General features: G+C 44.5%; 1 long non-coding RNA gene across 1 annotated transcript in view; it reads left to right on the top strand.

Moving 5' to 3' along the window:
* LOC105374781 (uncharacterized) overlaps window positions 1-12,304 on the top strand; it is a 31,293-nt gene extending 18,989 nt beyond the window's left edge. Inside the window, exon 3 of the long non-coding RNA XR_940192.3 lies at window positions 12,229-12,304. This is a non-coding gene — a long non-coding RNA (uncharacterized LOC105374781). The remainder of the gene's footprint in view (window positions 1-12,228) is intronic.
* Window positions 12,305-17,593: the final 5,289 nt, after the last annotated feature.

Below are 17,593 nucleotides of genomic sequence, written 5' to 3'. Positions count from 1 at the left end.
CCCAAAATGTTGGGATTACAGGCGTGAGCCACCGTGCTGCACCTTAATAGACTTATGATAGTGTATGTGGTGGTGGGGGGCGGGGGTGAGTATCGTAAACATGCCATCCTACTCTAGGCATTTTTCTGCAATTTGCTTCACCACTCAACAATAGATCTCAGCAATCTCTCCATAGCAATAACTACTGATTTATTCTGTCTTTTCAACTTCTGCCTAGGATTTCCTAGTATGGACACATCACAGTTTATTTAGATATTTCCCTATGGATAGCATCGTGGGTTGTGTTCCCAGCAGTTTCTAAGTACACCTGTGGATAAAGGCAGAGGATGCTCTCTTTGCCCCTCAGATCCATCCTTGTCTGCTCTGCATCCAGGCTGCTGATAACATGAGCTGACTCCCTCGCCTTTTGGCATCTGGTTGGATGAAACCGATGTGAGTGGCAGGAAATCAAAGGGTGAAAAAAAGAGAACTTGGAGTGTTTATCCACCGGCTCACTTCCTACCACGCTGCAGGCTGGCAGTGGCCGTGTTTCTCTTGCAAAGGTCACAGGTCCTGTTAGGGGCCTGTCCTAGAGCTAAAGCTCTCAGGGTGTTCCTGTATCTGCTCTTGTCCCCTTGGCCTTCAAGCCCAGGAGTAGCAGCACCTCCACCTACTGCTAGCCCGAGGTGCTTCACCAGCCCCTATTGGTTTCTCTTACTTTCTCTAAATACCCCCTTTATTAACCTCTCTTTGACTTTACCTCTTCAGTGTACTGGCTGCTTCCTGATGGATTCTGACTGATGGAGCTAATTCTGTTCACTTAAAAGGGCAAGAACGATGAAGACCACAATGTCAATTTGGCGGGGCTTTAGTTGACCTCCCAGTTTGTCTCACTGTTTCTCCCAGCATCTCCCCTTCCCAGCTCTGCTTTTATGTCCTCTCTGTCACTTGGTCCTTATAAGCAGCATCCCAGATGGCCCCTACTCCAGATCTATCTGGTCCCTGGGCCTCTACTCTATATACTACCCCATACGCACGCTACGCTCCCATCTAGACTGAACTCTCCTCACATGTGGAACCCACAGGAATCTTCAACTGACTGCTAAATCAGAGCCAGAAAATACTCTCAGTTCTCATGGAGCAGAAACAGGAAAATGCATGTGATCCCCAACTACAAAAATACCCCCCAGAAACATGATTCAGAGCCCAAAAGCTCCCTGTCACCCCTCGGAGGTCTCTAATACCTTACCTCATACCTCCTCTTAAGCTCAGCACTAAGTACTCCAGGCTGCGAGATTAGTTTAGCAACCAGTCAACAAGTTTCCAAAATTCCCAGCCTAGTCGTTAAGAATATGGGATTTTCAGCAATTTCTCATCTGGGTGTATACCCCAAGGAGATGAAATCACCACCTCATAAACACATCTGTACTCCCATGCTCATTGAAGCATTATTCACAATAGCCAAGATATGGAAACAACCTAAATGTCCATCTATGGACAAATGGATAAAATATGATGCGTACACACACACACACACACACACAGAGACACACACACACACACAGACACACACAGAGGAATATTATTCAGCCTTAAAAAAGGAGATCCTGTCATTTGCGCCAGAACATGGATGAACCTAGAAGACATGTGCTAAGTGAATTAAGCCAGACACAGAAATAAAAATATTGCATGATCTCACCTATACATGGATTTAAAAAAAAAAAAAAAAGCTCAAATACACAGAGGCAGAGAATAAAACAGAGGTTACCATGGCCAAGGGGGAGGGGGAGAGGAAATGGGGACATGTAGGTCAAAGGACATAAAATAGCAGATAACGCAGGATGAACACCTTTAGAAATCTAATGTACAACATTAGGGCTAAGTTAATAAAATTGCATTGCTTTAAAATTTGTGTTAAATAAGTAGATTTTAGCTGCTCTTGTCACAAAAAAAGTAACTGTGAGATGATAGATATGTTAATCAGCTTCACTATAGTAACCATTTTACTATCTATATCTGTATCCTATAACATCATGTTGTAAACCTCAAAGATACACAATAAAAATTATTTTTAAAGAAGAATATGGGCTGAAAAAATCAAGGTTCAAATTTTGATCCCAACACTCAGCAGCTGAGAGGCCTCATGAAAGCTATTCCACTCTGTGCCTCAGTTTCCTCATTTGTAAAATTGAAATTATAAAATTACCTCATAAAGCCCAGGCATGGTGGTTCATGCCTGTAATCCCAGCACTTTCAGAGGCTGAGGCAGGTGGATCACCTGAGGTCAGGAGTTCAAGACCAGCCTGGCCAACATGGTAAAACCCTATCTCTATCAAAAATACAAAATATAAAAATTAGCTGGGCATGGTGGTGGGCACCTGTAATCCCAGCTACTCAGGAGGCTGAGGCAGGAGAATCGCTTGAGTCCGGGAGGCAGAGGTTGCGGTGAGCTGAGATAGCACCATTGCACTCCAGCCTAGGCAACAAAGCGAGACTCTGTCTCAAATAAAATAAAATAAATTAATTAAATAAAATTACCTCATAGGATAGTTTCAAAGATTCCATAATATAATATATCTAAAAGATCTTGGCCGGGCACAGTAGCTCATGCCTGTAATCCCAGCACTTTGGGAGGCCGAGGCGGGCAGATCATGAGGTCCAGAGATCGAGACCATCCTGGCTAACACAGTGAAACCCCATCTATACTAGAAATACAAAAAATTAGCCAGGCGTGGTGGCACACACCTGTAGTCCCAGCTACTTGGGTGGCTGAGGCAGGAGAATCGCTTGAACCTGGGAGGCGGAGGTTGTAGTGAGCCAAGATCACACCACTGCACTCCAGCCTGGGCGACAAAGTGAGACTCCATCTCAAAAAAAAAAAAAAAAAAAAAGATCTTAACAAGGTGCCTAGTCCACAGACAGCCCTCTATAAATGGTAACAGATATGGTTTTTCTGAACTCCGTATAAGTTGGTGTGGGAGGAAAAAGAAAACATGGGCCCTACCCTCAAGAAGCCTGCAATCTACTTTGGAAGATGAGATGAACATTCTTATAATAATGAACAGCACAGATGACCCTATATTTTTAAGTGGTAAATTATCTGATTTGAGCTACAGTGAAACAGTATTGGAACTATCTTTTCCACATACCTGTCCATTCCTTTTTTTTTTTTTCGGCAGGGTCTTGCTCTGTCACCTAGGCTGGAGTACAGTGGCATAATCACAGCTCACTGCAGCCTCAACCTCCTGGGCTCAAGTGATTCTCCTGCCTCAGCCTGCCAGGTAGCTGGGACTACAGATGTGCACCACCATGCCTGACTAATGTTTTTTAATTTTTGTAGAGATGGGGACTCACTGTGTTGCCCAGGCTGGTCTTGATCTCCTGGGCTCAGGTGATCCTCCTGCCTCGGTCTCCCAAAGTGCTGGGATTACAGGCATGAGACACCACACCCAGCATTTCTTTTTATATTGTCTGTAAGTTTCTTTATTTTATTTTATTTTATTTTTGAGACGGAGTCTCGCTCTGTCACCCAGGCTGGAGTGCAGTGGTGCAATCTTGGCTCACTGCAACCTCCGCCTCCCAGATTCAAGCGATTCTCCTGCCTCAGCCTTCCGAGTAGCTGAGACTACAGGCACGCCACCACACTCAGCTAATTTTTTGTATTTTTAGTAGAGATGGGGTTTCACCATGTTAGCCAGGATGGTCTCGATCTCCTGACCTTGTGATCCGCCCACCTCAGCCTCCCAAAGTGCTGGGATTACAGGCGTGAGCCACCGCACCTGGTCTGTCTGTAAGTTTCTTGAGGGTAAGCACCAAGCATTATTTTGTATAATAATAATGTTATCATTTGTGTAATATATCCATTTTGTACACCCATTACTTTCTGTGTAGCCATCGCTCCACACACAGCAGGCATGCAAATGCAATTTGTCCGTATAGACAGAAAGTATTTGCACAGCACGTTAGAACAAGCACTTAGTTCTTTACAAAGCGCTTTGAAAGGGAAGATCATTTATTTTCATAACAACCATGTGAGATAGTTACTATTATTATTAGAATCTGGATTTTCCAAACGAGGAAACTGTGGCTCAAAACAACTAAGCATCTTCTTCAAGTCACACAATCAGTTTATGATGCGGTTGGTCTGCGATCCAAGACATTTGACCAGAATAAATGTGGAGCCTCTTCCTATAAGGGCCACAGAAGTCCACAAGCTGAAGAAGTGTATCCTCTGCCAAATGTCTTTTTCCAGCCTCAAGTATGTTCTCTTTTTTCTAACCTTTCTCTTTGCTCTCTCCAACTGAGACAGCTGGCTCCAGTTTTTTCTTTTAGCCAAAGGGAATCCAATGCATTAGCATTTCTTTTGAGGGAGGCAGAGACTCTCCTGTTTATCCAAGCCCCTATCAGACTTATAAATGTATAATATAGTCATTAAACTCTGAAATACATGACACAGTCATAACCACACACAAGCTATTAAAAAGTTCCTAACCTCCAGTGGGAGTTATTCACTATGCTTACTGTTCTCTCCTCTTGGCAGGGCCAAGAGAGAACATGGGCTCTGTTTGGGAGAAATCTTTTCTTTTCACCAGGAATCCTTCTAAAAGCAGTTATATTGCTGATAAAAACCTTATTTATTTGTATGCTTCTGAATGCATTGGAAGGCAATCACAAAAAGCACGGTATGCTCTTTGCAGGGAAAAAAATCAAACAATACTGAAATGTGTAAAGTAAAAACAGAAAGTTCTCAAGAGAATGAGAAGAAGTCACAAAGTGGGAGAAATTATTTTAAAAAGATATATCTGATAAAGGACTGTTATCCAAAATATACAAAGAACTCAACAATAAGAAAATGAACAATCCAATTTTTTAAAATAACCAAATGACCTAAACAGACACCTCAACAAAGAAGATATCAGATGGAAAACATACACATGAAAAGATGCTCAACATCATGTGCATCAGGGGATTTCAAATTAAAACACAATAAGATGCTACTACCCACCTATCAGAATAGTTAAAAACCAAAACAGTAACACCACCAAATGCTGGCAAGGATGAACAGCAAGAGGAACTTTCATTCATTGCATGTGGAAATGCAAAATGGTACCGCCACTTTGAAAGACAGTTTGGCAGTTTCTTACAAAACTAAACATACTCTTACCATATGATCCAGCAATCGTGCTCCTCGGTATTTACCCAAATGAGTTGAAAACATGTCCGCACAAAAACCTGCACGTGAATGTTTATAACAACTTTATTCATAATTGCCAAAACTCGGAAGCAACCAAGATGACTTTCAGTTGGTGAATAGATGAACTGTGGTACATCCAGACAATGGAGTATTATTCAATGCTAAAAAGAAATGGGCTATCAAGCCATGAAAAGACATGGAGCAATCTTAAATGCATATTACTGAATGAACAAAGCCCATCTGAAAAGTCTACATACTGTACGATTCCAACTATATGACATTCTAGAAAAGGCAGAACTACGGAGACAGTAAAGATCAATGGTTGCCAGGAGCTGGGGCGGGGGGGTTGCCTGGATGAATAGGCAGAGCACACAGGATTTTTAGGGCAGTGAGGCTACTCTGTATGATTCTGTAATGGTGGATGCATGTCATTACACATTTGTTCCAATGCACAGAATGTACAGCACAAAGAGTGAACCCTAGGGTAAACTATGGACTTTGGGTGATAATAATGTGCAATGTAGTTTGACCAATTGTAACAAATGTATACTTTGGTGCAGATTTTGATAGTGGGGGAGACTGGGCATATGTGCGGACAGGAGGTATATGGAAAATCTCTGTACCTTCTTACTCTAGTTTGCTGTGAGCCTAAAACTTCTCTTAAAAATTTGTCTATTTTTTCAACTAAAAGTTTTTTTTCTCATGTCTCCCATGCCCAATCTATTTCCCTTGTGTAACTGTTGTTTAATGTTTAGCGTATTTTCTTTCCATCTTTTCTTTCTCACACACTCATGATGTCTATGTATATGTAAGAATTTTTATTTTTTTATTATTATTTTTTTAACACGGAGTTTCACTCTTGCCGCCCAGGCTGGAGTGCAATGGTGTGATCTCCGCTCGCTGCAACCTCTGCCTCCTGGGTTCCAGCAATTCTCCTGCCTCATCCTCCCGAGTAGCTGGGAGCCCACCACGATGCCTGGCTAATTTTTGTATTTTTGGTAGAGACAAGTTTCACCATGTTGGCCAGGATGGTCTCAAACTCCTGATATCAGGTGATCCGCCCGCCTCCTCAGCCTCCCAAAGTGCTGGGATTATAGGCGTAAGCCACCGCACCCACCCTATATGTAAGACTTTCTTAAAGATCAGTGGCTGTTATGTATACATACATGAGTAGAGCAGGGTCTTCTTATAATAATGGAAATACTTAAAAATACCTAGCTGTTCCAAGCAAGGAATAGTTAAGCAAACTATTATTTATTGCTAACTGAGCACTGTGTAAAGGAAACAACTTTGGGCTCTAAGGCAGTTAGAGTAGAGTGGTAGTAGGAATAGCAGTGGTAGAGTCAGACAGAACTGGGTTTAAAATCCCCCATCACTATTTAAACAAGTAGTGAGTCTTCTCTAACCCTCATTTTTCATCTGTACCATAAAAATATTAGTGCTCACTCAAAGGATTCCTGTACAGATTAAATTAAAAGTGAGAATGTATACAAGGTCCTCAGCAAAGGGCTTGGCACCTAATAGATGCTCCATTAGCTCCAATCCCTTCTTGGCCATAGACCCTTGTCCTGGTGATCATTATTACCCAAGAGCTTGCCTCAGTGCCTGGCACAAAATAAGCAGTAAAATAAATGTTGGCTGAGTTGAAGTGCAGTGGAACAATATAGCTTTTAAAAATCAATATTTGGAGACATGGGATATGGTTTAGTATTTCAAGCAAGATGAGACTGAATAGAGAGAATCCAAGGTAGACTCAAGGTTGGAAGGTCAGGGTTGGTGGAGGTCAGGGAAGTCCCAGCCACCCTGCACAGTGGAAAGGGCAGAGAAGGAAGGAAACCATCTCAGGTGAGCTCAGCCATTCTCAGCACCAAAGAGGTGGTGCCCAAGGGGCTGGAAAAGCTTCTGGTAAACTTCACATCTGCCCCGGTAACGAGGTTTTCTCTGCGTTGCTGCCATGACTCTCTGCTGACACATTAAGAAAGAGAGCCCAATCCTATGCAAAAAATGCAGAAAAGTGAGTTCTCATAAGAGAAAAGGAAGGAGGACGCTCATGGCACAACCTATAGAATACTGCAGGAGCATTTCTTTTTTTTTTTTTTTTTTTTTTTTTTGAGACGGGGTCTCACTCTGTTGCCCAGGCTGGAGTGCAGTGGTGCGATCTCAGCTGCTCACTGCAACCTCTGCCTTCCGGGTTCAAGCAATACTCCTGTCTCAGCCTCCTAAGTAGCTGGAACTACAGGCACCTGCCACCATGCCCGGGTAATTTTTGTATTTTTAGTAGAGAGGGGGTTTCACCTTGATGGCCAGGCTGGTCTCCAACTCCTGACCTCAGGTGATACACCTGCCTCGGCCTCCCAAAGTGCTGGGATTACAGGCATGAGCCACTGCACCTGGCCTGCAGGAGCATTTCTTTTTTTTTTTTTTTGAGACAGAGTTTTACTCTTGTTGCTCAGGCTGGAGTGCAGTGGCGTGATCTCGGCTCACCATAACCTCTGCCTCCTGGGTTCAAGTGATTCTCCTGCCTCAGCCTTCGGACTAGCTGGGATTACAGGCCTGCACTATCATGCCTGGCTAATTTTGTATTTTTAGTAGAGATGGGGTTTCTCCATGTTGGTTAGGCTGGTCTTGAACTCCTGACCTTAGGTTATCTGCCCGCCTTGGCCTCCCAAAGTTCTGGAATTACAGGTATGAGCCACCGCGTCTGGCCAGGAGCATTTCTTAAAACAAAAATAACTTTGGTTTTATATTACAAAAATATATCCCCCAACCGTAAGAGGAAAAAAATCATCCATTATCTAACCAGAGAAAACTCTTGTTAAGACCTTGCTCTTATGCCCTTGTAGATTTTTTCCTATGCCTGCATACATATATCTTGCACATATCATAAGTGTAAAATATTATATGTGTTTTCCATACAGGATATCCTCCTATCATGTCAATAAACAATCATCTACGACATCATTTTTAGTGGCTGAATAAAATTCCAACGTCTGGCTAACCCATACCTTATCTAACCAATCATCTATTGTCAGACACTTGGGTCATTTCCAAAATCTTGCTACTCTAAACAGAGCTGCCAGGAACTTCCTTAGAGCCATGCCCTGAACTTCTGATCCTCTTTCACAGAAGGGTGAAAGAGAACAATGAGCTATTTGCTAAAGTCGACTTCAACCCCAACCCACTACCCTCTTGTCCCCACCCATGGTGATACTCAGAAGTCCTCTGGAGACCAGCTGGGGTAATCCACGGTCAGGACCTCGGATGCCCAAGGATTTGCCCCCGCTCGTAGAAGGAGCATCTGAGTCTCTTTGAATCCACATAATAATCATTATTATTTTTTTGAGACAGGCTCTTGCTCTGTCACCCAGGCAGGAATGCAGTGGCATTATCAGGGCTCACTGCAGCCTCGACCTCCTGGGTTCAAGCAATCCTCCCACCTCAGCCTCCTGAGGAGCTGTGACTACAGGCACGCATCAGCACATCCAGCTAATTTTTGTAATTTTTTGTAGAGACAGGGTTTCACCATGCTGTCCAGGCTGGTCTCAAACTCCTGAGCTCAAGCGACCCACCCGCCTCAGCCTCCCAGAGTTCTGAGATTACAGGCGGGAGCCACCATGGAATCCACATAATTAGATGTGGGGGCCCAGAAACCAGGCCAGCTCTAGCCACAATTGGGAGACAGATTCAGGAGGTCCTGGGTCACCATCTTGAGTGTTTCCCTTCCCCAATACTGTCATGTCCTCCCAAGAGGAAACTACCTAGTCTCCAAACCCCTGAGCCCTGCTCTCAGATTGACAACCTCATTTCTACAGCTGTGACAGCAGTCAGGCTAGAAAGAGCCATACCTTCCAGTAACATCTTTTTATGAAGCTCCGTTTAACATCTTGAGTCAGCCATGTTTGGAACTAAACACTGCAGAGAGGCATAAGGTGAATAAACCATCATCCTTGCCCTCAGGTGGCTTCTACTCTGGATTACTCTCCCAGAGCTGTCAAACTGGGTGACTTCAAACAACAGAAATGTGTTTTCTCACAGTTCTAGAGGCTACAAGTCAGAAAGCAAGCTGTTGGCAAGCCCACACTCCCTCTGAAGGGTCTAGGGAAGAATCTTTCCTTGCTTCTTCCTAGATTCTAAGGGTGGCTGGCAAACCTTGGCACTGCTTGGCTTGCAGCTACACCACTCCAATCTCTGCCTCCACCTTCACATGGCCTCTTTCCCTGTGTTTCTGTGTCTCTGTGTCCAAACTTCCCTCTTCTTATCAGACACTAACCATACTGGATTTAGGGCCTCCCTAATCCAGCGTGATTTCATCTTGACTAATTATTAGGTTGGTGCAAAAGTAATTGCGGTTTTTGCAATTACTTTCAATGGCAAAAACTGCAATTACTTTTGCACCCACCTAACAAATTTGCAAGACCTTATCTCCAAATAAGACCACTTTCTGGGGTTCTGTGTGGACATGAATTTTGGGGAGACACTACTCAACCCAGTACACTCACGGATAGAGGCAAAGATGAATGTAAAACATCAGGCCTGGCGCAGTGGTACACACCTGTAATACCAACACTTTGGGAGGCCAAGGTGGGAGAATCACTTCAGGCCAGGAGTTCAAGAGCAGCCTAGGCAACAAAATGAGACTCTGTCTCTGAGAAACAAAACGTAAATAAAAATAAATAAAAATCAAAACTGCAGGTATGAAATTACCTAAAACTAAAAGCTAAAATAAGCTTTAAATGAACCAGGAGGGAAAAGATGTAGGTGTGAGTATGAGGTGTGAAGAATTGTGAGCCTGGGGGTTTCTTACAAGCACCTTTAAGTCACTTTGTCTTGTACTTCCTGGTCTGGCTATGTCTAGAAGTCACACTTGCTATGAGACCCCCATGGGCCCCCTAAATCTCCCTGTGGAATAACGAATACTTCTTGACTTCATCTTTTTTTTTTTTTTTTGCCACTACTATTTCAGTATAACTTCTTGATTTCTCTCCAGCTTTACTCACAAGCCCATTTCCTTTCAACCATAAGTTCTGGAGACAATCATGGCAGGAAAAAGGCAAACCTTAATGAGGAACATACAAAGGCAAAACTGCAACAGCTTTTCCCCCAATTTGCTGTGCTTTCTGCACATTTTTTCCCCTTGCCTCTGCTATTTCCAGTTTTGAAAAGTGGGGAAGGTGCGGGAAGCAGCATTATCCTTTTTGAATCTGTGAGGTTGCTCTTTCCTGCCCCAGCTGTGCACTGCTGCTCACACAGCAGGGTCATAAAATCCCAGTGAGATAATGAGGGTGGGGCCCTCCCCTCGAGCGAGTGCAGGCAACAGTCTCTGCACTTCCAGAGCTGACCCTCAGTGCTGAAAGAGCTTGGTGGGCGCTGAGATTTCAGAGATGCCACTTGACAATCAAGTCGTTAAAGAGGCAGCAGGGTTTTCTTCAGAAGCATATGCTCCCATACCTAAACCTTCCCCTTGAACAACCTCAGAAAGGTTACAATTTTTCTCCACCAACTCTTATGGATAACAGCAGAACTCAGAACAAGGGCTGTCACAGTCGATGCCCCATCCAGAGATTCCCCCCAGCACAGGGTCCAGTGGGACCATGACCCTGACCCCAGGCTTTCTTCTGCAAGTATCTTTGACTCATGGTCTAAGAACTGTCTTTGGCTGCCTGGGGAGACTGTCCTGAAAGCACAGGGGAGGAAACCCTTTGGGAGCAACCCTCAAGCAATGAGTAACAGGAGGTGATGAAAAAGACCCCAACTTTCTTGCCCTTGGCAAGAGGAGAGACAACTCTGAGGTTTCTCTCTGCAGTCTCCCAGAGGTCCCCAGCAGGAATGAACCTGAGGGCCCACAGTGGGAACCTGCTCATTAACGTATCCTGTACTGTCTCACTTCCCCTCTTTCTTACCTGTGCCTCCTGGGGTCGCCTCTCAAATACACGATTTGCACTCAAATCTGTATCATCAGATCAGTTTCTGAGGGCATCCAACTTAAAACACATAGTTGCATTAATGTGTATTTTCCTGTTGGATGGTGAGCTCCCCACAGACAGCCAAAAACCATATTTCTCTGAGAACTCACACTGCCAAATGCTTTCTGTGAATTACCTCATCTTATCTGCATGACAACCCTAAGAGGCCACCACTATTATTATTATCCCCATTTTACAAATGAGAAAAATGAAGCTCAGAGAGCTTAAGTCACTTGCCCAAGGTCACACAGAAGAGCTGGGATTTGAACCAAGGTGGTCTCTCTCTGAAGTTCACACTCTTAATGACTGCATGTCAGATAGGGTATTCAATCATGGTGTGAAAGGAAGGAAGATGGTAGCAAGCAAACTTGACAAGCACTGGTACAGTGTTCATTATTGGATGCTAGAGATCAGCCAATTTCTCAAACATGTTTAAGACCCAGTGGAGACAGGGGCCATCAGAGTGTCCTTCCCCAGATTGTCATGTACCTTTTTTCTGTTCATTTATTGATTCCTCTTATGTCTAAGACACTGAATTAGGACCTGTGGAGGTCACAAATTAAAGCAAATTCGAGGAGCTTACAATCTACTAGAGGGTGTGGGAGAGGGACAAAGATAAGGTAGAAGTGCCTGGAAAGATAAATGACAAGACCAGAGCTTCCATCAGGCTCAACTGATTCATGGCCAAGTGCGTTGAGCAGAGAAGTGCCATGTTTTCAGAGAAGGTGGCCCCTGGGAACTGGAGTGGACAGCTGCCCTGGAAAAGTAAGGCTTAGAGAATGAGGGGAGTTTGCTGGCTAGGAGCAGAGCTGGGGAGGGAAAACGAAAGGGGAGAGGCACATGAGCAAAGCCATAAAGCCAGGACATACCAGGTGATTCTCTTCATCACTCTGCCTCCCCCACCTTTCCTCAGGTCAGAACAACTGGGGAGTCAAAGGGGGTGATTGAAAAAGATGTTTACCAGGAGGGAAACCATGGTTCAAGAGACAATAGCTGAGGATTGTAGATACATGGTAATTCACGACTACTTTTCAAGCCAAGACATGGATAAAGTATACAAACCACATACTGAACAAGTCACCTTTCTTGCAGGTCTAAGAGGGCTGATTGAGTAAGATGACGCATGTGACCGCTGTGGCTCCCCAGTCTGAAAACTTGGCACCAGAAGACACTGTGTAACTGCCAGTCTTACTGTTGTGCTTGGATCACACCACTTGGAACTCGGGAGTTTCACATACTTAGGGGGCTGAAGACATTTCCCTGAAGCCTTGGCAATTGAGACCTCATTTACAGCTCCTGTGCTGGGACAGGATTTCTTCTTTGCTTACCTTCACCCTTCACCCCAGTGAGGGCGTGGGCAGGAGAGATTGGCACACTGGATAAGAAAGAGAGAGAGCCCAGCCAAATACTCGGCACCATTTTGTAAGGAGCAATCAGGCGTGGAAAGCCTTGAAGATTCTGGGCTACCTCAGGCAGAATGTGCTCAAGAAGAACCTTACCCTTTTTGTTTTTAATTTATTTTCTCAAAAATTGAGATGGGCCAGACATGATGGCTCATGCCTATAATCCTGGCACTTTGAGAGGCTAAGATGGGAGGATGGCTTGAGCCCAGGAGTTCGAGACCAGACTGGGCAACATAGTGAGATGCTATCTCTACAAAAAAAAAAAATACAAAAATTAGATAGGTGTGGTGGCACATGCCTATAGTCCCAGCTACTTGGGAGGCTCAGGTGGGAGGATTGCTTGAGCCCAGGAGGTTGGAGCTGTGGTGAGCCAAGATCGCATGACCACATTCCAGCCTGGGCAACACAGTGAGACCCCATCTCAAAAAAAGAAGTGAAAAAAAATAGAGATGGAGTCTGTGTTGCCCAAGCTGATCTCGAACTCCTAGGCTGAAGTAGTCCATCCACCTCAGCCTCCCAAAGTGCTGGGATTAGAGGCATGAGCCACCGTGCCCACAGGTCTTGCTCTTGGTGGCTGTGTTCACAGCTAACAACCCCTCATATTCCTTCAGCATGCGCTAAATACACATACAATCTAAGTAAACACAATGTCTGTTCTTCACAGCCTACGCCAAGTCCCAAACAGATGGCTGCCCCAAGGCTCCTTTCAAATAGAAATTCCACAACCACCATTCTTACCAGCCTTACATTGGGCCACCTAGAGTTTTATAGCCAGGGCTATAGGAAGGCAAGTCCCAGGATGCAAGTCCCAAGAGGTTAAAAATAGTTTGCCATTTCTTCAGCAAGATACCAGGCATTGTTGAAGTGACATTATGTAACCAACAAGCTTATGTAAGGATCATGCCCCTGGCTTTCCCCACACCCTGCCCTAGACAAGGCAAATACAGGTGTATTGATGCCTATGGGGCAATCTTTGCCCATGGGGGCCTGGGAGCAAAGGATAAATGCTTCCCCATTTCCTCTCCCCCAACCCTAGGATGTTCCTGAGATGCATTTCATAAATCTTCTCAGAAGGTTCTGCGTAGGGGTGGCCAACGCAATAACTCATCATTTTATTGTGATGGGGTTCAGAACACACTACCCCAAAATATGGCACCTTGGCATTTGAGAAAACAGCAGAAGCTGGAAGGTCTCTCTGACCTTTTCTTGACCTTCTCCCCTGAAACAGACCGGAAAAGGATGTGCTTACATTCCCCTAAAGTAGGTCATAAGGACCAGGTGCAGTGGCTCACGCCTGTAATCCCAGCATTTTGGGAGGCCAAGACAGGAGGACTGCTTGAGGCCGTGAATTCAAGACCAGCCTGGGCAACATAGTGAGACCCTGACTCTGCAAAAAAATCAAAAAATTAGCCAAGCATGGTGGTGCACATCTATGGTCCCAGCTACTCCGGAGGCTAAGGTTGGAGGATTGTTTGAGCCCATACGGTCAAGGCTGCACATTGCAGCTTTGATGGTGCCACTCCACTCCAGCCTAGGCACCAAAGCAAAATCTCGTCTTAAAAAAAAAGTAGTTGATAGGTCATAAAACCCTCATTCAGGCCAGACGAGGCAGCTTGCACTATGGGAGGTCGAGGTGGGAGGATCACTTGAGCCCAGGAGTTCAAGACCAACCTGGGTAACATCGTGAGACCTCATCTCTATAAAAATGTTAAACAATTAGCTGAGCATGGTGGCAAGGTGGGAGGATCACTTGAGCCAGGAAGGCAGAGTTGCAGTGAGCACTGTACTCCAGCCTGGGCAACAGAGTGAGACTCTGTCACAAAATAAGTAAATAAATACCCTAATTTCAGAGGTGCCCTCCCTATGCCTGAAGGAAAGAAATGTCCTTATCCCTGAAGACACAGAGACACAGAGAAGAATTTGAACAAACGAATCTTGCTAAATTCCCCCCAGTTGATTACTATTAGGTCATATCCCCTTTGTCCAATCATACCTCTCAGTGACTGTCCACTCTTCATCAAACCTAAACATAAAAAAACACAAGCTTGACTGGGTGCAGTGGCTCACACTTGTAATCCCAGCACTTTGTAGGCCAAGGCGGGCAGATCTCCTGGGGTCAGGAGTTCAAGGCCAGCCTGGCCAACATGGTGAAACCTTGTCTCTACTAAAAATACAAAAATTAGCCAGGCGTGGTGGCGCTCGCCTGTAGCCCCAGCTACTCGGGAGGTTGAGCCAGGAGAATCGCTTGAACCTGGGAGGTAGAGGTTGCAGTGAGCTGAGATCGCGCCACTGCACTCCACCTGGGTGACAGAGCAACACTCCATCTCAAAAAAAAAAAAAAAAAAAAAAAAAAACCACACAAGCTTCCCTCTTTCGTGGTTCTTCATTTTTTTGTTTGTTTGTTTGTTTTGAGATGGAGTCTTGCTGTGTTGCCCAGGCTGGAGTGAAGTGGTGTGATCTCGGTTCACTGCAACCTCCACCTCCCAAGTTCAAACAATTCTCCTGCCTCAGCCTCCCGAGTAGCTGGGACAACAGGCAAGTGCCACCACGCCCAGCTAATTTTGTATTTTTAGTAGAGTCGGGGTTTCATCATGTTGGCCAGGCTGGTCTCAAACTCCTGACGTCAGGTGATCTGCCTGCCTCAGCCTCCCAAAGTGCTAGGATTATAGGCATGAGCCACCACGCTCAGCCGGTTCTTCATTTCTGAAGGCCGCATGCTACATCAAATATATTAAATAAGTTAATATGCTTATTTTTATTTGTTTATTTATTTGTTTGAGATGGAGTCTCGCTCTGTCGCCCAGGCTGTAGTGCAGTGGTGTGATCTCGGCTCACTGCAACCTCTGTCTCCAGGGTTCAAGTGATTCTCTTGCCTTAGCCTCCCAAGTAGCTGGGGCTACAGATGCTCACCACCATGCCCAGCTAATTTTTTTTGTATTTTTAGTAGAGATGGGGTTTCACTATGTTGGCCAGGGTGGTCTTGAACTCCTGACCTCAGGTGACCCACATGCTTCAGCCTCCCAAAGTGCTGGGATTACAGGCGTGAGCCACTGCACCTGGCCTGAATATGCTTCTTTCTTGTTAACTTGTCTTTTATTATAGGTGCCTCAGCTAAGGTACTTAGGAATCTCAAAAGATATCACTTGGCTTCTGAAAGTGACCCAGTAGGGCACAGTGGTGTGGGTCTCCTTAGATCCCGTCCTCTGTTGGTGCTGCACATGAACCTTTTCTCTTGTAACCAGTCAGACATTGACTCTGAGAAGTCCTCATGCAACCCATAGAAGGAGGAGGAGATGATCCCTCTATCTACAGTGGATAGGCATAACAGGTGAATTCTTTTCACTAAATCCCGTTTCACTTTGTTGATTCACTAGAACTCATCTTGTGGGAGGACCACTGACTCACCATGCAAAAATGGGAAGATAAGTTTCATTAGAAGTGGGATGTTTCACACGCTTCTTACATACACACATCAGGACTCAAAGTGGGGTGACGTGGTTTGGCTGATGTCTAAGTGCCCTCAACCCAACATCGAGATTTTAACCAAATATAGCAAGGAGTCTTCAATTTGAGAATCCAGCTCCCTCTTCCAAAGCAGATGATAGGTGAGAATAAGGGAGGGGGTTGGGAAAGTGGGAGAAAGATGGGATTCGAGTTAAAATAAACCCGAGAGGAAAGAGCAGAATTCTAAAGAGAAGGAAAGAACTCATCTACATCTTCTTCTGTTTGAGTACCAAGGTCTGACCGTAGTCGTTTTCAAAGCGACAGAAAACATCCAGAAAGATATGTGTCATGCATGGTAAAGGTTGAGTTTTATCTGGAGTGGGAAAATTAAGACTGCAAATAGTTAAAAAAAAAAAAACAAAAAAAGTAGTGTTTCAGTTTTCAGCACTCATCACAGATCAAAATTCACATTTTAAGCTCAAAACTAACTGTTTTATAAGTTATAAACTTATCATTTTGATATATTAAAAATGTGAACGCTGGAACAAAAAGTTATTTCTGAATTTTTCGAAAGTGTGTGGGGAAAAAAAAAAAAACCTCCTTTTCTCCATGTCCTTCTCTGGCAGCAGGGAGCTGTTGACATCTACCAAAGTCCTGAGTATCTACTTAGTTATACAACATCCTGAAGGCTAGCTAGAAGCATGAGCTGTGCAATCCCACTCCTAGGTACTTACTCAAGAGAAATGAAAAGCTACATTCACATGAAAACCTGCACAAATGTTTACCCACCTTTATTCAGCCCGCGCTGGGCACAACCCACATGTCCTTCACCTGAAGAATGGATAAACAAACAGTGGTACATCCATACAACGTAATATTTCTCTGCAACAAAAAGGAACAAAAGATGGATGTATGCAGATTTTGCTAAATGAAAGAAAATAGTCTCAAAGGGCTGTATGATTCCATTTGTATAACATTCTAGAAAAAGTAAACAGAAAACTGATCGCTGCGTATACAGGGGGCAGGGGCAAATAGAAGGAAGGGATCGAGGCTGGGTGCAGTGGCTCACACCTGTAATCCCAGCGCTTTGGGCAGTCGAGGCAGGAGGATCACGTGAGGTCAGGAGTTTGAGACCAGCCTGGCCAACATGGTGAAACCCTGTCTCTACCAAAAATACAAAAATTAGCCAGGTGTAGTGGTGCATGCCTGCAGTTCCACCTACTTGGGAGGCTGAGGCAGGAGAATCGCTTGAACCTGGGGAGACGGAGGTTGCAGTCAGTGAGCCAAGATTGCGCCACTGCATTCCAGCCTGGGTGACAGAGGGAGACTCCGTTTCCAAAAAAAAAAAAAAAAAAATTAGAAGGAAGGGATTGATTACAAAAGGACGCAAGGGAATTTTTGAGGGTGATGGAGCTGTTCTGTATCTTTATCATGGTGGTATTTCACTTGTCAATCCTCATAGAATTGTACACTGCCAAAACAAAGTGAATTTTACTTTATGTAGATTATACCTCAATTTAAATTATTTATTTCTTTATTTTTAAAGACAGAGGTCTCCTTATGTTGCCCAATCATGCCTCAGCCTCTAGAGTAGCTGGGACTATTGGCGC

This window comes from Homo sapiens, chromosome 2 (genome assembly GCF_000001405.40).
Source record: "Homo sapiens chromosome 2, GRCh38.p14 Primary Assembly".
Taxonomy (NCBI): Eukaryota; Metazoa; Chordata; class Mammalia; order Primates; family Hominidae; genus Homo; species Homo sapiens.
The sequence above is the reverse complement of the archived record's forward strand: the minus strand, read 5'-3'. Positions and strand labels throughout refer to the sequence as shown.